The 22,103-nt window shown below is 52.1% G+C and overlaps 1 protein-coding gene and 1 long non-coding RNA gene across 7 annotated transcripts, besides 2 other annotated features; one reads left to right on the forward strand and one right to left on the reverse strand.

The window, feature by feature from the left end:
* On the reverse strand, positions 710-19,270 carry NECTIN4 (nectin cell adhesion molecule 4). Of its 5 annotated transcripts, none has more exons than NM_030916.3 (9): positions 18,930-19,270; positions 9,302-9,661; positions 7,165-7,455; positions 6,067-6,187; positions 4,323-4,471; positions 3,929-4,085; positions 3,432-3,507; positions 2,937-3,011; positions 710-2,597 (listed from the first exon to the last, which is right to left on the reverse strand). In NM_030916.3, the coding sequence occupies exons 1-9, from the start codon at positions 19,006-19,008 to the stop codon at positions 2,373-2,375; spliced, it is 1,533 nt and encodes a 510-aa protein (NP_112178.2). In that variant the 5' UTR covers positions 19,009-19,270; the 3' UTR covers positions 710-2,372. The 5 variants fall into 5 exon arrangements, with proteins under 5 accessions (NP_112178.2, XP_047287244.1, XP_011508323.1 ...); XM_047431288.1 differs by having other exon boundaries at positions 2,870-3,011; XM_011510021.3 differs by having other exon boundaries at positions 3,929-4,088.
* Positions 1,633-1,682: an enhancer, noted in NCBI's record as "active region_1974". NCBI's record gives its function as "activates an Ori minimal core promoter by ATAC-STARR-seq in GM12878 lymphoblastoid cells {active_cell/tissue: GM12878}" and the evidence as "EXISTENCE:reporter gene assay evidence [ECO:0000049][PMID:35858748]".
* Positions 4,465-5,141: an enhancer, noted in NCBI's record as "H3K27ac-H3K4me1 hESC enhancer chr1:161044543-161045219 (GRCh37/hg19 assembly coordinates)". NCBI's record gives its function as "activates a minimal SCP1, AML or CMV promoter by ChIP-STARR-seq in naive H9 embryonic stem cells {active_cell/tissue: H9 hESC(naive)}" and the evidence as "EXISTENCE:reporter gene assay evidence [ECO:0000049][PMID:30033119]".
* On the forward strand, positions 13,538-20,444 carry NECTIN4-AS1 (NECTIN4 antisense RNA 1). 2 transcript variants are annotated; one of them, NR_183641.1, is made up of 4 exons: positions 13,538-13,790; positions 14,364-14,524; positions 14,649-14,740; positions 16,615-20,444. It is a non-coding gene; the product is annotated as an NECTIN4 antisense RNA 1 (long non-coding RNA). The 2 variants fall into 2 exon arrangements; NR_183640.1 differs by having other exon boundaries at positions 13,538-14,524.

Consider the following 22,103-nt stretch of genomic DNA (forward strand, 5'->3'; position numbering starts at 1 on the left):
GGAAAATGAAGGGAGCAGACTAGAGGACCTTTAAATCCTCCCACCTCTAAGAGTCTGTAAAACTCATTTAACTTGAGTTTCAGTTTCTTTACCTGTAAAAAAGGGTACACTGCTGCCTATTTCACATAGCTGTTGTTGAGTCTCCAGTACAATAAGGAATTCAGGCTGGGCGCAGTGGCTCACGCCTGTAATCCCAGCACTTTGGGAGGCTGAGGCGGGTGAATCACCTGAGGTCAGGAGTTCGAGACCAGCTTGGCCAACATGGTGAAACCCTGTCTCTACTAAAAATACAAAAACTAACTGAGCATGGTGACGGGTGCCTGTAATCCCAGCTATACGGGAGGCTGAGGTGAGAGAATCGCTTGAACCTGGGAGTCGGAGGTTGCAGTGAGCTGAGATAGTGCCACTGCACTCCAGCCTGGGTGACAAAGTGAGACTTCATCTCAAAAAAAAAAAAAAAAGGAATTTAAAACACTTTGCAAACTAAGGTACTGGCCATCCTCGAAAGGGTTCTTAGCTTCACTTTCCTACCAGGGGACTCTCAGAGATGGCCAAAGGCCTTGTGGAGGCCAATTCTTTCCCTTCCCTCCCAGCTACAGGCATCCTAAGTCTTCCCCTACTTGGGACTACAGGAAGGATGGTACCGAGACAGAGAGTATGTGACTCAGAGCTTACACAGTTCAAGGGGCAAGACAGGAGCCAGACAGAACAAGTTTTGTCTGTTTATTTAAAAACAGAATATCATTTTATGTACAAATATGCACATATTTACATAAAATGTACATGTTAGGATCTTAGATCTTCAGGCTCCACATTCGAAGTCCTAGGCTGGCTGGGGAACGAAGGATGGGAGCCTCTCCCTTAGGCCAGAAATCCAGCAGATTTCAGACTAAGAAGAGTTTGGGTACTAAATCTAGGTATTCTGGCTGAGTGTATCTGGGTGGGCCAGCTAAAAATAAACCTCATTGAACTCCAGCCCCAACCCAGAGAAACATCCAGAAGAGCCTTGAATTAGTGATCCAAAACCCAGGGGGAAAGGCGACATTCTCACCCCCAGCACCTCCTTCACCTCACCTCAACTCCTACTCTCTCGGTCTATAATCACTGCTCTCTCTCTCCCCAACACCACTATTGAACAGGAGCCCTTGTCACCAGGTCCAAGCAATTCCCTAAGGTATCACAAACAATGGTGGATGCAATTTTACCTTACTCAGTAACCACGAGGCTCACATCCCTAATTTCAGACTCTACCAGCTCTCAGGTGCCCTCCCAAGGGGCTGCCTGCATGAAGATGCCTTGGAAGTAGCCCCTTTCACAATCACAGGAATTAACCCCCTGGTGTTGGAGGGGCCTCACTTTAAGCAATCCCAGTAGTAAACATTGGATAAATCTAAAGGCTTTCTTTAATTTTTTTTTTCTCTTCGTAAAGGATTCAAAGCAGGCACAGTGGTGTACACTTAAAGTCCCAGCTACTAGGGAGGCTGAGGCAGGAGGATTGCTTGAGCCCAGGAGTTCAAGGCCAGCCTGAGCAACATAGTGAGACTCCATCTCTAAAAAAAAATAAAAATAAAAATAAATAAAAAATACAACTAATGGAAAGGGCAAGAAAAAAAAAAGAAAAAAATTAAAAGTGATTCGGAGCAGTATTCCTGCAAGAAGCTCCCGGCGCATGTATATTTACAGAAAATATGTACATGCAGCAGGCCCAGAGGCCACCAGAGGGCAGAGGGCTTCTGTAACAGTTCAAGCCTCTGGCTGACCCAGGGACTGGCTGCTTCACACTTGCCCCCATGGCTCCGAAGTGGTAGGAGACAGGTTCCCTCACACCGGAGGCAGATTCCAGCTCCAGCTATGCCCGCACACCTGGGTCTGAGCCACAGTCTCCACCTCTCTCCTCCAACCTCTGCATCATTAATACTGCTCTGGGGTCTGAGAAAATACCTGCTTTTTCAGGCAGAGGTCACACACAGCCACATGACACACACGCCAAACCCTGACAGTGTTGCCCACGCAACCACTCAAATCCCGTGGCACATACACCACAGTTCACTTGACTCTGATATGACAGCATAATACACACCACGGACACAGTCACCCCTCCACGGACAGTCACCCCTCCACACACACACAGTCAGTCAACACTCACACAGGCACACATGCACACACACAGTGACCTGCATGCATGGTGGGAGAGACTCAATTGGTGGAGCCCTCCCGATGAACAGAAGGGTTGGAGGTAAAGGTCAAGCAGTCAGTGGGATGGGGAGCATCTTCCGCAAGAAATGGGGGTGTTTAAGGAGGCCCCCAAGATGAGCTAAAATCTCCCATGTCAACAGAAGGAGCCAGGCCTAGGGAAGGGAGGCAGGCCTGGGTCAGACCAGGTGTCCCCGCCCATTGATGTAGATGCCATTGCCCGTGGGCTTGGCCCGTAGGGTCCCATTCTCCTGAACAAAATGGTTCATGGCCTGTTTGATGCCTTCATCCTGATCTTCCTCCTCCTCGGCCCGCCCAGAGCCTGGAGACAGCAGTTCAGTCTGTGTTTCTATCTCCCTCACCGTGGTCAGCGTGGAGTAACTGCGGCCCTCGGGCTCTTCACTCTGGAGACCAAGGGCAAAGGGCAAGTCAGGAACAAAGGCAGGGCAGCTGCACATGGTGGGGCATGGCTGGGTCATGGTGGGATCAGAGGCCAGGCGTAAGCAGGGGTAACGGTTGCCTCAGAAGCATAGGGGCCCAGAGATCGGGGACCAGGAACAAGTGTTAGGCATGGGGAGAGGGAGACGGGAGAACAAAGACGTAGCAGAGATGCGGTGCTGGGCTGCATGAGCCAGGGCTAAGGAAAGAGGGACTGGTAAGGGGGCTGCTGACGCACCATATCTGGGACCAGGACAGGGGCCCGAGGAGAGTGGTGGGGACACCGGTGGGGCCGGGGGCCTCACCATCACAGAGCAGCTACTGTTGTCCTTGAGACTATCAGGGTGGCCCTCGGCTCTCAGCCCTACACTCTCCTCCGGCTGCAGGGCCCAGACACGGGGCAGTTAGAACAGGGCTCAGCCTCCTCCCCTCAGCCTCTTCCCCTCTTGTCCTCCACCAGCCTCCTCCCTACTTGCCTGTCCCCCAACCCAACAGGTCCATTCTCTCCTGGAAACAAACATCCTCATTTCCCCACTGCGACCACAAACCCACCCTGGAAGCAGAACTGATGGTGGCTTCCCAGAAAAGGCCCTAGGCCAATGCTGAAGGGGGCCTTCTGGAGCAGCCCTAGCAGACCCAAAGCAGCTACACCCTCTCAACTCTACCCCGGCCAACCCCAGCTGTGAGTCAGTGGCTGACCCAGCAGAGAGCTGTGCTCCTGGTCTGCAGAGGGGCCCAGGCACAAGCAGACCCCAATGCGACCACACCCCTGCATGCATACACCCAACCTTGGCACACACCTGGCTCCTGGGGTCCGTGTGATGGGAATGCAGCCTCCGGATGGAGTTCTCCCTGGTCAGGGTCAGCTCCTCCTCACTGGGAAAGACACACCCTTGTCAGGAGCTGAGGGTAGTGGCAGCCTCCCAAGGTGAGCCTATCCTGGCTGAGCCTAGTGAGACAGGCCCGGAGGGTGTGGGTGCCGTGCTGGCCCTGCAAGTGTGAGTGTGTGGCTGCAGGTGGCAGTGAGGCTGAAGAGCATGTGTGTGCTGTGTGCGTGTGCATACTTGGCAACATCCAGGCACATGGATCTGAGCCTCACTAAGGTGGAAGGATTGAGTGCTCCATCTGTGCTCCAGACCCTTAGCTCCTCCTCAGCCCTAGAAACACCCTGCCCACCTCTAGTCTGAAACTCCTCAGTTTTCAGCCTACCCAGTCTCCTCGGTCCTGGCCCACCTCCTGCTATCCTCTTCTTTGTTCTCAGCTTAGTTCTACCCACCCAGGAGTGCCCAGTACTCACTATTTCTGGGTCATCTGCTGGGCCTTGCGCCGATGGTATCGGGACATGAGCACCACCACCACCACCAGAAGGCAGAACAAGAGTGCGGCGATCACACCCACCACCACCACCGAGGCTGACACTAGGTCCACCTGCTTCCCAGAGTCTTCCTGGGGGTCTGCTGGAGACAGGCCACTGTCTGAGGTGGAAGCCTGCAGCCACAACCCACCCCAGACCTCACAGCTCCCCCGCAAAACATCTAAAACCACACCTCAGTTTGATTCTCTGCAAGACACACAGCCCAGCCCCCTCTGAATAAACACTTTCCCAATTCACTGTCTCTGTCTTGCTTCCTGCTGCCCCCACCAAGCCCTTGGCCCAGGTCCTTACCAAGGACTTCTGCTCCAGTGCTTACCAAGAACATCCACAGTGACCTGAGAATCCCTTGAGGAGAACTCATTGCTGACATGGCAGACGTAGATGCCGCTGTGCTCAGTGGTCAGTGGGGGAAAGCCCAAAGTGTCCCCATCCACTCGTACCCCACTGGGCAGAGGCCCATCCAGCCTGGAAGACAGGGAAGCTGAAGGGTGCCAGCCGGGAAGGGCTGAAGCCACCACCACCCAACGTGTCCAGACAGCTCTCCACCCTCCACCCCCATGACGTCACCCAGAGCCGCAGGCTGTTCCCACGGTGCCCCTCCCTCCACCAGGCAGGTCTAGGCAGAGGTCCTTTCTCCCTGCTGCCCAGCCTGACCTGGGCACCCCCCACACACACCCGGGGAAGATCCACACGTGTGCCATCCCACATGCTTCCACAGGCATCACGTCATCCAACACTGGGTACCAGGTACACATGTTATAAAGTCCACACAACAGGACACTCCACTCCTAGCTGGGTGTAGAGGTAATTGGAAAATGTGACTGCCTGCTCCAACACCCGTGATGTTGCATGGCAGGATACACAAACATAGCCCCAGGCACAAGGCCACATGCATCGCTCATATGCTCACATGTGAGAACATGCCCATGATGTGCTCACACACATGTGTACCCAACCTCTCCCTGACTCTCTAGATATTTCAGATCTTGGAAAAAGGCCAAGGATGCCTTGAGGGAACTGGAGGTAGTGGGTGTTTTTGAGGTGCTAGCAATATTGTGGTGGTTATAGGAGTGTTGGCTTAACAACAATTAGAAAAAGACACAGCTGTCTTGTCCATTTTATGCACTCACATAAATATATAAAATATTAATATCGAAATATTGTGTTATATTTCACAATTTAAAAGTTAGACAAGGCCGGGCATGGTGGCTCACGCCTATAATTCCAGCACTTTGGGAGGCCGAGGCTGGCGGATCACCCGAGGTCAGCAGTTCGAGACCAGCGTGGTCAACATGGTGAAAGCCCATCTCTACTAAAAATACAAAAAACTAGCTGGGCATGCTGGCACACACCTGTAATCCCAGCTACTTGGGAGGCTGAGGCAGGAGAATCTCTTGAACCTGGCAGGCAGAGGTTGCAGTGAGCCAAGATCGCACCACTGCACTCCAGCCTGGGCAACAGAGTGAAACTCCATCTCAAAAAAATAAAAATAAAAGACAAGGGCTGGGCGTGGTGGCTCACGCCTGTAATCACAGTACTTTGGAAGGCCAACGTGGGCAGATCACAAGGTCTAGAGATCGAGACCAGCCTGGCCAACATGGTAAAACCCCATCTCTACTAAAAATACAAAAATTAGCTGGGGTTGGTGGCGCGCACCTGTAATCCCAGCTACTCAGGAGGCTGAGGCAGGAGAACTGCTTGAACCCAGGAGGCGGAGGTTTCAGTGAGCCGAGATCATGCCACTGCACTCCAGCCTGGCGACAGAGCAAGACTCCGTCTCAAAACTAAAATAAATAAAATAAAAGACAAAAAATTTAAGGGCTTATCCATTTATTCCCTACTAATGACCATGTATCTTAGATTCCCTGGGCAAGCCAATAATATTTGGTGACCATACATATTCTTGTATGATGAGTATAATAATACAAGAGATCTGAACACATACCCCAATTTATTTGGGGGCTCAGAATATGTTGTCCCATTCCATAGTGGTATATCCTGGCCCTGAGAGGGGAGGAACCTAGTCTCAAGTTAGGCCTTCCTCAGGCTCGGGCCCTTACCGTGTCCAGTTGTATGAGGGAGGGGGCTGCCCTTCACTCAGGCACTTGAGCATAGCTCCTTCTCTGCCAATGTGCCACAGATTTTGGTCTTCAAGGCCCCTCACAGAGGCCTCAGCAAGGACTGGAATGGGAAGTGGGAGGAGAAAGAATGGGAATGATGCCTTTGATCATGTGGTACCTCAAAGGGCCCTGCCCCCACCCCACCCTGCCTGAAACACCCTCCCCTTGCCCTTCTCCATCCTACTCATCTGCTGCCAAACCTAGCTCAGCCCCACCCTGCTGACAGCTCCTGGCCACACTGTTCCCTCCCCTCTCTAAGCTCAGAGAGTCTGTATTGGTTTACCTGTACAATGAGACCATAAGTCCCTCAAGGTAGTGATCCATCACACATTTTCTGGATGTCCTGTGTTGCCTAGCATAGTGCTAGTCATAGAACAGGTGCTGAATAAATGTTGCCTGATTTTTCAAAGGTGTAACAATCCTACTAGTTCATTCATTTCTTCAACAAACATTTGTTGAGGACCTGCTTTGAGCCAAATGCTGACAGTCTTATCCCCTCCAGAGGCTTGAAATCTAGCACTGGGAAAACAATATCTACCATTTACCAAGCGCCTTCCATGCGCTAAGCACTGTGTGAGTTGCTCTGCATTCATAGTTTCTAATTCCCATCAAAACCCTCTAAAGTTGGTATGAGTTATATATAATTATACCCATTTTGCTGATGAAGAAAATGAAGCCTAACAAGAATGAATAACAGCTGGTAAGTAGAACTAGGGCTTGTCTAAGTTTATCTATTTCCAAATCCTAAACTAATATTTTAGAAAGTGCTTTCAATTCCATGTTTCTAATTGATTCTCCCAACAACCCTGTGAAACAAGGCAATCTCCTTTGTAAAGATAAGGACACAGAAGCTCAGAGAGGTCTATCCTCTGGGATCGGGCTCCAGGTCTTCCACATTTGGACTAGTGCTCTGTCACATACTATATATAGCCTCCAGGACCCAGGCTGGCCAGCCTGGCATGGCTCAGGGACCTGTGGCATCTCACCAATCTGCTGAGAACCCCTTGGGCCTCCCTACCCAAGCATCCAAGTACTTACAGGACACGTGGAGGATGTGGGTGATCCTTTGGTCCTGGAGCAGGCCAGGATGGGACACCACACAAGTCAGTGGCTGCCCATTCATGCTGCGGCTAGGCACCAAGTGGAACTCTGAGGTGACGGCAGCAGAGCGGGAGTGCTTGAAGGAACGGCTGGACGTTGTGCCTTTGACCTCCGTGTCCCAGGTCACGCTGGGGGCTGGGCTGCCCTCAGCTGTGCAGGAGGCTGCCAGGGTCAGGCCCTGGCCCTCTTCTAGTGCTGGACCAGGATTCAGTGAGGGCAGGGGAGGCACTGCAAATGGGGAAAGGCAGGGGTCACAGGTCTACACAATCCCTGTCAGGAGGCCCCCACTCATCGCATTTCAGTCTTGCACAAGTACAAACTTTCAGGCCCCCTTTCCTTCTCTTATTTCATGGAGACGCAGATGAATGGTAGAAATTCAGGTGACTTTGTATCCTTCTCTACTGTGCGAATTTTTTACAATGAACGTAGGTTATTTTAAAAAATAAAATAATGAAGTAATTAAAAAACTAACCAGATATCATCTACCTAATAATAATAACCACCATCTAGTAAGCATTTACTATGTGTCAACTATTATGCTAAATACCTTATAAATGTTATCTCAAATTCTGTCAACAAACAGTGAGTTAGGTATTATTATCTCTATTTTCCAGATGAGGAAACCAAAGCACAAGGAAGTTAAGTGACTATCCCAAGTCATCAGCTATTAGGTGACAAAGCCTAGATTTACACTTGGGTTTTTATTTTTACTCCAAGGCTGATGTTATTAACTTATATGTGAATAAAGGGAAACTATAAAAACCTTTATTTTATGTATTTATTTATTTATTTATTTATTTATCTACTTGTGAGACTGAGTCTCCGTCTGTTGCCCAGGCTGGAGTGCAGTGGCATGATCTCGGCTCACTGCAATCTCCGCCTCCTGGGTTCAAGCAATTCTCCTGCCTCAGCCTCCTGAGTAGCTGGGATTACAGGTGCGCACCACCACACCCAGCTGATTTTTGTATTTTTAGTAGAGATGGGGTTTCACCATGTTGGCCAGGCTGGTCTCGAACTCCTGACCTCAGGTGGTCTGCCCACCTCAGCCTCCCAAAGTGCTGGGATTACAGGGCATGAGCCACCTCACCCAGCCAAAAACCTTTATTTTTACCTTCAAAATATTAACACAGAATGGAAAAGACTTAACTTGACCGTAAGTCCAGAGTTCACCACAAGTGCCCACAATATAAAGTGATGGTTTAAAAAGTGATTGTGGCTGGGCGCGGTGGCTCACGCCTGTAATCCCAGCACTTTGGGAGGCCAAGACGAGCGGATCACGAGGTCAGGAGATCGAGACCATCCTGGCTAACACGGTGAAACCTTGTCTCTACTAAAAATACACAAAAATTAACTGGGCGTGGTGGTGGGCGCCTGTAGACCCAGCTACTCGGGAGGCTGAGGCAGGAGAATGGCGTGAACCCGGGAGGCGGAGCTTGCAGTGAGCCGAGATCGCGCCAATGCACTCCAGCCTGGGCGACAGAGCGAGACTCTGTCTCAAAAAATAAAAAAAGCGATTGTGATCTCAGACCACATTCACTGAAGGTCCATATCAAGGAAGGTATTAGCTCCTCTGATCGTGTATGGCCACACCATTGCTGGGCCTGTGTTCACATTCAGGACCCACATTGTAAAAAATACCATGGAGCACAGGATGGTGAGAGAGGCTTTGAAATTGTCTTTGGTGGAACTGTGTCAGGAACCAGTAAGTTTAGCTTGGAGAAGAGTAGATTTGGGTGGGGCACGACAAAGGGCCTCTGCTTTTGGAAAGGTTGTTGTGCAGAAAAGAGAATAAGCCAGTGCCATATTGCCACAGGGCAAAAGTAACAGAGGGAGTTTCATGTCGTCGGAAGGAAGAACTTCCTAATAAATGGATTCTTCCCCAGCTTTTGGGGTTACTTGGAGAGAATTTCTGGATTGGGTGCGAGGATAGCTAGCTGGATGAAGCTCCCTCACCTGAACATGACCCCACTTTTTATTCCTGTTCTACCTCTGCCCCATCCATCTCTGCAGTCCCCATCTCTGCTTCCCCCTGCATCCACAGCGGCTCAGACCGTACCCAGAGATCCCCGCTTACCCAGCACTCGGAGCCGCAGCCGCGCCTGGAAGCTGCCGGCGGGGAAGGTGCTGACCCGGCACTCGTACTCGCCCTCATCCGCCTGCACTGCGTTGCGCAGGAGCACTGAGCCGTCCAGGGGGTTGCGTGGGGGCGGCGGCTGCTCCACGCGGCCCTCGTAAGCCGGGCTCACATGAAGCCCGTATTTGGAGTGCAGTAGCGCTAGTTCCTGGGCGCCTTCGCCCGCGTCCACCCGAGCCCATGCCACTTGCCCCACTTGCTCGCCGGAGTCCCCTCGGTAGAAGCAGGGCAGTTTTGCGTCCTGGCCCAGCACCACAGTTACCACGTCTGAGGTCTCCAGCTCACCCGCGGGGCACCGGCCTGCAGGGGGCAGAGAGGGACAGCCACCATTAGGGGTGCTGCCAGAGCTGGGGGAGCACAGTCATAATGATAATGACAGCAAAGGTGACCGGAACTCCTGGAGCATTTGGGCTTGCAAAGCACATTCAGTTCATTACCTTATTAAATCTACAAAACGCCTTCCCAAGAGGTAGGCGTTATTATCACCGTTTAACAGATGAGGAAACTGAGACCCAGAGAGAGGAAGTGGCTTGCCTAAGGCCACACAGACGATTTATGGAAGGCTCACACCCTCTTGCAGCCTAGGATTGTATCCTGAGCAGTTGCAAGGTGGGAGGCTGTAACAGAACAGGAGACCCAGCCTCTGCCCTCAGGGAGCTCACAGTCATCAGGGAAAATAGAATTTATGCACAAAGAAACAGGGAAAGCCATGAACAAACTTTCAGAAGAGGTTCAACCCACCAACCGGGAAAAAGTGGATAGTTTCAGAAAGTGTGGCCGGGAGCCACGGCAAGAATCCAAAACTGTTGGTGTCTGGAATGGGGCACATAGGGTAGGAAGGGTCTATTCAGTAGGCCCTTTGGAACATTCTTTTCATGGCTTGAAGATGAGAGACCTGGATTCCTATAGCGCAGGAAATGTTCCATGTGGGAGGAAAGGCATGAACCAAGGCTCAGAGGCAGGAATGAGCAAGCCACTAAAGACAGAAAGGGCCCAGGTCAGAGGCCCAGAGAGATGAGATCAGGGCAGACACACAACAACCGGGTCAGAATTGTAAGCTGGAATCGGAGGACAAGGGACAAAGGGCTAGTACAAAGGGCTAGTATTTAGCATATTAATGAAGCCCTCAGGGATTCTGGAATCAGAGCTATCCATCATGTCACCTTATCTGCAAATAAGGATCCACTCCCTGCTCTCATGGGACTTGAGTTCTGCTCAGGAGCAAGAGATACATATGGAGACACATATGGAAACATGTGATGATGGTTTCTGATTTAGTGCTCAGGGGTGTGTTACAGGCCAACTGTGGGATGGGGCAATCACTATGGGACTGAATCATTTGGGAGGGCCCCATGCATGAGTTGGGTAGGATTAGGAGGGAGAGAGGCCTAGAAAGGCATTCTAAATCAGGAACCACGGTGAGCAAACACCAAGGAGATGGAGAAGGTGGCTTGTTTAGGAAGCAAAGAGGAGAGGACCCAGCCTAAGACAGGGTGTGTGTGTTGAGCAGGAGTGGAAAATATGGTTGGGACAGGGTGGGGCCAAATCACCGGGGAACTTCCATACCAGCAAAGGAATTCATACTTGGTCAAGAGGAAATGGGGAGTCACTAAAGGTTCCTTAGCCAGGGAGTGCCATGAGCAAGTGGTGAGGGGCAGTCACTGAAGGCTGCAGCTGCAGCCTGGGTGCAGTAGTGCTAGGGTGGAGAGGAGGGGACAGTTCTGGGGGGAGATTTGACAGGGATTTGGTCACTGACCAGAAAGAGAGATGAAGGAGAGGAAAGACTCAAAGGCAGCTCCTAAATTTCTAGGATGAGTAACTTATGAGGGAGACAGGGCCTGAGGATGTTCATTTTTGGGAAGAAATAAATTTGGAGTCATGGAATCAAAAGTGAAATATGGGGATTGGGGCCTGGGGGCAGAGCAAAGGAACATGCTGGGATGGCAGGAGCTCCTTGCCTTGGAACGCGTGCCCCAGCAACCCCCAACAGTGTGTTGTCCCTGCCTCTGCCCAGCAAGCCACACACCTTGTTGTTCCTCACCTCTGCTCACACCGTACCCGCTGCCTGGAATGCCCTCCTCCCTATATCTGGTAGCACCTACTCATCATTTAAGACTCCGCTTAGACATCATTTCCAGCAGGAGTCCTCCCTCCTCCCACCCCCACCCCAGGCAGCATTAGGTGCCCTTCCTCTGTGCTCCCCAGCACCCTGCTTTCATTCCCATCACAGCACTTTATCCCTATTTTCTGGGCCTCACATCACCATTGGAACCATTGTTTCTGATTTAGTGCTCAGTGGTATGTGGGTTCCGTCAACATTTATTGACCAAGTGAATGAATGAACAGGTGAATTAATAAATGAGAGAGACAGAAGGAAAGTGTAGAATGAGGAGGAACAGGCTGGGCACAGTGGCTCACACCCTAATCCCAGCACTTTGGGAAGCTGAGGCAGGCAGATCACCTGAGGTCAGGAGTTTGAGACCAGCCTGGCCAAAATGGTGAAACCCTGTCTCTACTAAAAATAAAAAAATTAGATGGGCGTGGTGGCGGGCGCCTGTAGTCCCAGCTACTCGGGAGGCTGAGGTAGGAGAACTGGTGAACCCAGGAGGTGGAGGTTGCAGTGAGCTAAGATCATGCCACTGACCTCCAGCTTGGGCAACAAAGCAAGACACCATCCCCCCGCCACCAAAAAAAATGAGGAGGAACAAGCATTGGGCTGGCCAGGGAGGAACATTACATGGTAACCTTGGGGTGGAGGCAGGATAGGCTGGGCTAGCTAATTGGGTTCACTGCCAAAGGGAGCACCTCCAGACTGGACAGAGGAAAAAAATAGGGATGGAAGGAGGCAGGCATGGAGGGAGGAAATGAAGCCCCACCAGAATGGATCAGAGAGTTTTAGTGAGGCAGCACATAGAGCACAGGAAGGGGTTCCTGTGGCCCTGCTACCAGAAGGAGAGGGAAGAAGGATGCTGAGAGGGCCCAGATGGGACAGGATAGACCTGCAGGGCCAGATACCAGAGCCCTGACCTGCCTAAGCTAATGTTGGTCCCACCCAGCCCAGCCTGGGAGTCCAGCTAACCACCCGCACCCCTCCCAGGCTTTTTCTCCTCCTGGCACTGGAAAGAACAGGGCTGCCAAGGAAGGGCTGTGAGTGAGCTTGGGTAGGGGATCTCCAGCACAACATATCCTCTGCTTCAAACGCTGGTGTCTGTGAAGGTCACAGGGATCCCAAGACCTGCCCCATTAGGACACTCAAACCTTTCTAAAGACTATTTCTGAGACAATATCAGATGGCATATTTTCCATCCCTATTCCTATACTAGCCAACCACCTGCTGCCTCCCCACCACTAATCACCTATATTTCCCTTGGAAAATACCTTCTTAGGGTACAGCAGGCATTAGATACCCAGCGCATGCCTGAATGTCAATCCTCCATGTTCTCACCTGTGAGTCCACGATCCCCACCCCTAGGGGACACACTGAAGCTTCACAGACCGAGGAACCCAGTAAAACAGGAAATTCCCTTCTGGATATCTCCCACAGATCCTCATTGTTCTAAATCCACTACTTAGTAGGAACATCTCAGCCTGAGGCAACACCCTCCTCCAGCTGCATACCCCCCTACCACCCTAGGGTACAAGAGAAGAGAAAATAGAATTTGGGCCCTAGAATCCCTGTCCTTGTCTAAACAGACCCAGAAGTCCAGGTTTCCAGGCCAGGGCAGGCCAGGACTGCCTCCTCCTTCTCTCCTCCACCCAGTGTCAGCCTGGCGTCAGCATGATGATGTCATCAGACCAAAGGAGACACATTGCCTGCCTGGTGAGGTCACCTTGAGGGCATGTGGTGGCCAGGCCAGGCCAAGCCCAGGGACCCTTCTGTTGCAAATTGTTTACTGAGGCTGGTGGACTCCGGCTGGTTAGACACTCCTCCCTCTGACCCTCCCACCCCTCCTCCCTGGAGTACCAGGACGCTGGTCAGGAGCCTTGGTGACTCAGAAGCTGCCTCACAGCAGCAAGCCTAGCCACAGCCACCACCACCTTGCGCAAGGGAGAGAACAGGCCCAACTGGCCAGACGGGATCCCTGCCCTTGGCCTCCCCCACCCTGGCCAGGCCCCCACGGGCCTCTTTGGAGCCCAGCCCTTTGTGTACCCCGCCCGCTCCCAGACAGGCCCTCCATTCCAGGTTTGGGCTGGCTGGCTCTTCCCCACCCTATGCCTGGGTCTCAACTTTCCTTCCTATGTGAGCCTGGCCTCTGATCTCAGGAGGGGAAACTGAGGCTGGCACTTGCTGACACCCAGCCATCAAGAGCATCTTTAAGGAAGTATCTTTTCTTTATGAGGGGCCTTTCTCCATCAGTATCCCCTGCTGGGACTTACAGATGTGAATGTAGGGGATCGTAGAGGTGGGTCTGTGAGAAGGAGGAAGGGAGTAAGTATGAGTTTTTTGTGTATGGGGAGCTGTGGCTGAGGGCCTGGCCAATCTTAGTGCTGGTTCAAACGCATGTGAGGCTATCTTCTTGCATAAACTGGTGGGTGTTTGGCACATATATGTGTTCATGTCTTATCTTAGGGGCATATACGTACTTACTTGTCTGTGTCCAGAGGGAAGAGCTGTGTATCAGTATGTGTGAATGTGTGTGCACACATGATTCCGTGTGCATGTCACACCCTCTGTATGCATGGAGTGCATTCTTGTCTCGCGGAACTCTGCACACATAGTAAATATTTTGCTGTCGGTTTATCTTGGCTTCCACATGTCTCTCTGTCTCAGCTGCCCTTGGTCTGTGGTATGTGGCTGTGAGCCTTTGCCTCTGCATCCTGCCTGGAATGTCACCCCCAGCATCCTTCCCCACCTTACCCCAAGACTTGAAGACATATTAATCTCAGGCTCAAGGTGGAAGTACCCAGAGATGAGGTCACTGTCCCTCCAGGTGATGGGAACTTGCCATTAAGGACTCCCCAGCAGAACAAAACAAATGTTCCCTCTCCCCTTGCTCCTCAGGTTCCTACTAAAAGGACTGCCAACCTTCTCACCACTACCCCCAGCCACTCCCCTGGGCCCCTCAGCAGCTCTGGCCCCCCAAGGAGGCCTCTCCCTGGGAATCTCTGTCAGGGCTCTGCTGCTGCCACCACCAGAAAAACCAGCTCTGGCTCCAGGCCTGGGTAAGGGTTGTCTGGTGTGGGTTTGGGGGGGTGAGGGGAATCCTGCCTGGGGCTAGGGGGAGGGGTCCAGGCTGTCTAGGGTCTCATGCTCCTTTGTTAACTCCTGCCTCCCCTTACCTGACAGCAACAATCTCCACCGAGAGCTGGAGTATGTGGGTGAGTCTGGGGTGAGAAAGGACCTAGGAGGGACGCACCGAAGCTCACCATCCAGGACAGGTGACACAAACAACCCAGCAAACCCCTTTCCATCCACTCTTTGCCCCATAACCTTGGCCTTGGAGTGCTAAGGAACTTTAAAAACCAGAAGATTCCCTCTCCGCCTTCATCCACCTCCCTCACTTACCCCCCATTGTACTAAGCCCCCCAGCTTAGTGAGAGCTTCCCAGCCTGGGCAAAACGCCCACCCACAGATTAGTGTCTGGGGAGGGGGGCCACACAATCACAAAGGGAGATGAGAACAATGGGGAGGACAGGCCTTGAGGCAGCCCCACTCTGGCCCAGACACAGCTCCCAGCACAGATAAGTCCCCTAAACCCCCCGGAGCCAGAGTCTGAGCCTGGCTGAGTCACCACAACAGCCACACTGTGGGTGGGAGAACCAGGATTCAGCTTCTCCCAAACTCCTGAGATCCTAACCCCTGCTCCACACTGCCCCTCCACCCACCATGGCCAGCTCTGCCCCATCCCAAATCACAGCCTCAACTCCAGCTCTCAGGACACACCAGATTTAGAGGGAAGGGGGTGGGGGTGGCCAGAAAACTATGAGAAAATCTCCTGAGGCCAGAGGCTGCCTGTTCCAGTGAAAGAGTGACCTCAGCCGCCTTCTCCACGGCCTTCCTTTAGGAGGCATGGCAGATGTCTCCCCAGTTCTGAACTTCGCCTCCTCTTTTTTTTTTTTTTTTTTTGACACAGAGTCTCACTCTGTCACCCAGGCTAGAGTGTAGTGGCGCGATCATGGCTCACTGCAACTTCAGTCTCCTTGGATTCAGGCAATCCTCCCAAGTAGCTGGGACCACAGGTATACTACCATGCCTGGCTAACTTTTGTATTTTTTGTAGAGACGGGATTTTGCCGTGTTGCCCAGGCTGGTCTCAAACTCCTGGCCTCAAGGGATTCACCTGCCTTGGCCTCCCAAAGTGCTGGGATTATAGGCGTGAGCCACCACGCCTGGCCCCCTCCTCATTTAGATTCTCTTCCCAAATTAAGACCCTAGGCTTCTCTACTCCCTTCCCTTCTGACTTCGTTCCCCACATCACCTCCATCCCTTCTCTCTGCCTAGACTTCGGTCAGAGCAAGGGCAAGTTTTTGGAGGCTAGAACATCCAATCATTCTCTCCTCACTGGGCCCCAAAGTAGCTAATCCCCATTCACTTTGCCTAGAGGACCCCCAGATCCTGAGGCTCTGGTCTGGCTGATGGAATCATGAACTCTAACCTCCTCATCTCTGTAGCTAGGCTCTCCTTGGCCCGGCCTCCTTAAACACTAGGGTGGGAACAAGGTCACTGGGGTCACAGGGCTTCCCTGGGATTCTCCCAGTTCTCACCACCTCCCTTGCTGGCTTCCCTGGGTTTGGGTAGGTCCTACAGGAAAGGGCCTGCCCCCCTCTGTAAACAGGAGTAGAAAAGTAAGGATGGGCCCCTCCCTTTCAAGGAAATTAACCTCAGACAGAAAGCTGATCCTAACCCCCAGAAGGCAGACCTCAGAATGCAGAGCACCACTTGCCCTTTGGTCCTGCAGGGCTCCTGAACCCGACAAAGAGCTAGGGACTAGGATCCTAATGGGGGGAGGGGTGTCTCGTGGATTTGGGTCCCTCAGCCCCAGGGCAAGAGATGGGGGAGGGAGAAGGGAGGAGACTTCACCCGGAAACTCAACCCATTAAGGAGAGACAAAGAGCTGTGGTGCTGAGGCGCCTCCCAAGCCTGGGCTCCTTTCCCTGTCAGGGGTGGGGCAGGGCCCTGGGGCTCAGAGCTCTAATGGCCCAGGATTTGGGTGGGGGGTGAATTTGCAGTAGGGCCAGGAAGGCCTGGGGAAAGGTACTCTGGTACCCTCTGAGAGATGCGACCAGAACGCTTTCCTCCTCCTATCTCCACAGCCAGACCCAGTGACCCTTCCAACACCCCAGCACCCCACTTCAGCCAGGCCTGGACCATCACAGAGTCATCGTATTTCAGAGCTGGAAGGTCAATAGAGATCATCTGGTCCTAGCTCTCGGTCTACTGAAGTCTGGTTTCATCGCTGCCCAAGGTTACCAAATAGATTAATAGCAGAAACGGGATCTGGACCAAGACTCCTGACTTCCCAGTCCAAGGATTTTTTCAGAGACATGAAACATTCCAGGTTCCTGGGAGCCATTAAGGAGAGTCTACACACAGAAGAGCCAGAATGGGGGTGGTAGTGGAGGTAGGACCATCTGATCCTCAGGCTAGGAGCCTCCAGCCCCCAGAGCAACCTCAGCTCTGTGCAGGTTGTAGCTGCTGCAGCAGCAGCAGAGTGGCCTCCTACCAGGTGCCAGCTTCCTGGGGCAATCTGGAGCCAGGCTTCCTCCCTTACTGCCAGGCATTGCATGAGGTCTAACTAGAAGGGGGTCTCCTGTCCCCTTCCCTGGGCTTCTCTTAGTAAGAACAGTTTTGCCATCATGGAAAAGAAAGGCAAGAACCATGTGATGCAGTCACCATTGCATCTCCAGCATCTAGTATCCAGGTTGTACCCAGTGTGCACTCAAATGTACTATTCTTCAATGAACTTAGAGTGAGAACACCAAGACACTAACCCTGGTTATGCTTCTAACACTGAGCAGAGGTAATCAGGGATTCCAGCCATAGTGACCGGGCCTGGGGGCTGGGAGGGAACATGAAAGGGAAGGGCTACACTGGCTCTTCTGGGGGTACTGCTGGAAGCTGGGGGTGGGAGAGAGAGATTGGCTCCTCAGTTCAGAGTCATAGGAAAGAGATGTTTGTGTGTGTGCGTGTGTGTCTACTCCTAACGTTGAGTAATCTTGCAGATCTCACTTGCCTATCTCTCTCAGTTTTTTCATCTGTAAAATGAGAGAGTTGGAGTGGTGATCTCTTTGATCTCTTCCAAGTCCTGAGATGGCATGACTCCACTCTTTAAGTGTGGGTAGATCCCACAGGAAAGTGACTGCTGGTTCCCCAACTCCAGCAACTAGGCTCCACCTTTTTGGCCTAAACAAGTGAGAAGGATTATCTGGAAGATGGGAATTAAAACACAGGTGGTAGGGGACTGTGAGGGGATGGCAGGGGTAGGAGCTCAGTATCCTACGACTGGAGGCTGGGCCCATGACCTATAATAAAATCAGAGTTGGAGCAGCCCATACCTCCACCAATCCACACATCTAGGCCTTATTTCCCTCCTCAAAGCTTTGGCTGGAGATGGAGGTAGGGGAATCACTGCCAGATCTTGCTGGGCAACAGAGGCTCCCTTGCTACTGCTCCTGGGCCTGAGAATCAAACTGTCCTGTCCAGATCAGGCCCTATCTTTTGAAGGAGAAATATTTCTGTTACTCATTACCCTAGGAACACCCTATGGAATCCCACTGAGGTCTCACTGTGCACACACACGCACACACACTCTCCTCTACTCTGAAGATTATACATTCCTATAATTCATATTTGCTCTATATGCATTAGACAGACAGGAGGTGAGAAGTAATACAAGGCATCTAGTTAAGAAAATGGGGGAACAGGAGATGAACAAATGGGGACCACACCCTATCTAGAAGGTTCCCTTCCTTAGACCCCCATCCATCTAAACCCCCTTATTACCACCCTGGCACCTAATATTGTGCCCAGGGAAAGGAAGGGGTCAGAGTGACGGGCATTCTCAGCTCTCCTATAGTCCCCAACAGGTGCCCCAGTCCTGGTGCTCTAGAACATCATGGAGAGAAAAGAAGGAAATAGAAATCCCCCATCCACTCTCTGGGCATCAGGCTTCCTGCACCCTGATGACTGCAGAAACCAGCTGAGCTCTGAGTCAGCCCCAGTTCCAGGCAGCCGTTCCAGAGCCCAGGGGGTAGGCCAAGGCACCTCTAGGAAACCCTGGGGTGAACAGGATCCTCACAAGTCCCACCTGCCTGCCCATCTACACTGGGTCACCACGTCTATTCCCCAAGACAGCTCAGGCCTAGGCAAGGCTTTGGCAGAGGTGTCAGGGATCCCAGACATAGTGACCTGGCCTGGGGGCTGGGAGGAAACAAGAAGGGGGAGGGCTATACTGGCTTTTCTGGGGGCACTGCTGGAAGCTGGGGGCAGGAGAGACTGGATCCTCAGTTCAGAGTCAAAGAAAGGAGGATATGTGTGTGCGTGCGTGTGTGTCTATGTGTTTGTGCATGTGTGTCAGTGCCAGGTTGGGCTCAGAAGCAAGTGTCCTGATGGTTCAGGCAAGTCCTACCTGTAAATGATGCCAGCAGTAGCAGCAGCAGCAGCCAGGCCTCAGGCCCCCACATCTCGGCTCCCAGGGACAGGGGCATGGTTGAAAGGCAGACTGCCCAGCGTTTCTGAAGTTCCACCGAGATCTCCCTGGGAGCCGGCTGCAGACTTGAATAAGGAACTGACCCAGAAGGCAGGAAGCTGCAGAGTTCTTGCCTCTCGCACTTGGGTCTCCACTAGGGGACCCAGCCCCAGCCCCGGCCCCGTTCTACACACCCAGCCGTAGCTACCCCCAAGAAGCCGTGATCGGGAGCTCCGAGCTCCCCCAGAGCTGCTTCCCACGCTGTGGCCAACAACGACGGCAGAAACCTGGGAACCTGCTCAGCAGGTCAGAACAGGTGCGTCTCTGGGGGCTGGGCCTGGCACGGAGACTCAGCAGCCACCGCCCCCATGGCCTGGGCTAGCTAATAGGCGCCAGGGAGGGAGGGAAGGAGGGAAGGACCTGGGTGGGGGCGGTGGGGTCCCATCCTCAGCTCCAGGCTTTACCTGCGAGTATGTGGAAGGGGCTATGAAGGGAGAGGCAAGGGTGGGGACTAAGGGAGGCCCAGGGCACCAGGCCAGGCCAGGATGAAAGGGGCAAGGCCCTTGTGGGTAGAAAGGAACCCAAGCGTCCCACACCCCAGCTAGCCTTGGTACCTCCTGGGGGCCTTGACAAGTTCCCGGATCTCCTGGAGGGTCTCAGCTTTGGAGCCACAGAATCGGAGAAGGCCAGAACTGAGGAGGAAGGAGTCTGTCAGTGCTGCGCTGTATACTTCATTCTTCAGAAGAGAAAACCAAGGCCCAGAGAAGGGGAGGGACTTGCCAGAGGACACACAACTTAGTCTCATGGTTTGCTCAGACACCTCTATCCCTGAAGTAGGGAAGTAGTTCAAAGACCCCTGAGAAAGAACTTACGTAACTCCTCTAACTCCACCTCCATATATAAGAGGCCAAGGAAGTGGCCAAGGAATTAGCCGTAGGGGTTCCTGGTTTCCCTATCAGGGCCCTCTCTCAGCTTCAACACCTTGTTACCTGGCCAGGAGTCCCAAAAGCGCAGCAGCACAACTTGAATGGAGAGAGGTTCCTCTCTACCCTCTCCATGGCCATTTTACCCAGTTTACTCCAAGGTCATTGGACAAGACCACATGTCTGGACTTTGCAAGGAGAATCTTAATTTCAAGTACTCTAGCCCTGTATTCCTATAAGTACATCCTTGTCAGACCATGTGTTTCCATTCTGAATGCATAAAAAGTGACCGCCAAATTACACAAAACCTTCCTGGCCTCCCTGGGATAGCCAGAGGAAGAGGGCATATTCTGAGCCCACTGAAAATTTAGTGAACGGGAGGGACAACATCACTTGCAGTCTAGGGCTAATACAAAAACCAGGTAAATACAGAGATAGACGTGGGAGAAGAAAAAAATATAGGTTAAAGTTTTGCCATAGGACCCTTCCATCTGGAGAAGGCAGAAAGGAGGAATAAAGAAGCCATAAGGAAGAGTTGTTCTGTGTAGATTTTCTACCACCACCATCCCCACCAACTCTACCTGTCAAACTCTTATTCATCTTTCAAAGCTGACCTCAAATGCCACATCTTCGTGAAGCCTTCTCTGCTCCTCCCACCCCAAATTAATCTTTCTTCTATTCTTCCTCAGCCTTTGCTAGTCCTTTTATTATAGCTTATGTGCTCATAATTTGTGCACATCTTATCTCCTTAACTAAATTGTAAGCTTCAAGTCAAAAAAACATCGATTGAGGCCTGCTGTGTGCCAGGAATTCAGTAAATGTATTAAATTGCGGGACAGGACAAGAGTTGTAGCCTGTGAACTCCTTGAAAGTTGGGCTTGTTTTATAATCTTGTCTCAGTCTTCCATGCTAGGACAGGCCACAGCATTTCATGGGAACTGACTACATTTTGGTGAAGCCATGAATTTCTGAATAAATGAGTTGTCCGGATGAAAAGGATGGTGAAGTCGGATCAGTAAAGCAGAGATCCCGACTGGCTGTGAGTTACTATCCTGAACTAGGGTTGTGACCTGGACTTTACTCCTGTCACTGGACTATGACCCCAACTCTGGCTCTAGATGCCAAATGACCACGGCAGTGACCTCTTCTTCAGGGGCTATTTCCTGCAGGTCAGAGGCCCTTAAAGGCCAGGCCGGTTGCCAGAATTCCCCAGTTTCTCTCCACCTCCAACCCCTTCTCTTTTTCAGGTCCCCACCTGTGCCAGGGGAACAGCCCCACCCAGATGCTGCTTTGAGATCCTCTGTGGCAGGGGTGGAGTAGGGCCAGCGGGAATGGGAGGGGGAGCATCCTGTGTTATAATTATAATTATCACACCTTGGATCCTATCGCATGCTTTCGGAGGAGCTGCTTTCCTTCCCACGGATTCACCCCTCCAGGTACAGGAAGCCACAGGAGAAACTGAGGCACAGGAGTGGAAAAGCAGTTAGTTCACAAGATGGATATCCAATCTCCTTCAGCCTATCCATTCACAGTATACCCCGTGAAAGTGCTACCAGTCAGGATGTCTCTGAACCCCTGGTTGGGCCCCTTAATCACTCACCCTGAACTCTAGCCATACGGAGCATGGAAAGGAGGCAGAACTGTCCAGAGGTGGAGTTAGGGTATGGCTATACTCATTTTTTCATGGGTATGATGCAGCCTTGAAGTAGGCTAAGGGCACCACAGGGCCTGAGAGGGAGCACTAGAGTCCAGCAGCCCACTCCAGGCCTTTGACAGAGTTAGGGATCTCTCTCCTCATTTCACAAATACCTATCTCAAGTCCCTCTGTCCCCTCCTTCCCCTCAGCCCTGTATGTCTCACAAGAGCCATGCTTTTGGAGAATATGCCCTCAAACTTAGGCCTTTCCTACCCTCTCCTAGGATGAAGGCTGGGGAAGGCATATTCTAGGATTGAGACTGGAAGGAAATATTGGATGAGGAAGATTTTCAAGACCAATGCCTGGTATCCTGGTTCGGTTCTCCCTTCCATATTGAATTCCCATTCCCCACATGCCTCACTCCTACCCTCCTCCTACCCACATTGTGGTCGCTAAGAATGAGAACAATTCAAGCCATGATAGTGTCTTTATCATGTGTGTTTGTCTGAGTGACATTGCTGCGTGCGCGCCTGCACCCATGCATTCCTTCAACAG

This window comes from Homo sapiens, chromosome 1 (assembly GCF_000001405.40).
Source record: "Homo sapiens chromosome 1, GRCh38.p14 Primary Assembly".
Lineage (NCBI taxonomy): Eukaryota > Metazoa > Chordata > Mammalia > Primates > Hominidae > Homo > Homo sapiens.

What these genes read in the sequence shown, in the direction of transcription:
- NECTIN4 (XM_011510021.3), bottom strand. Translation starts at nt 19,008, where the DNA reads ATGCCCCTGTCCCTGGGAGCCGAGATGTGGGGGCCTGAGGCCTGGCTG. An exon ending in ACTGCTGGCATCATTTACAG is followed by an intron (nt 9,662 to 18,929) that starts GTAGGACTTGCC and finishes TGCCCCCTGCAG; the next exon opens with GCCGGTGCCCCGCGGGTGAG. An exon ending in CCACATCCTCCACGTGTCCT is followed by an intron (nt 6,188 to 7,164) that starts GTAAGTACTTGG and finishes TTCCCATTCCAG; the next exon opens with TCCTTGCTGAGGCCTCTGTG.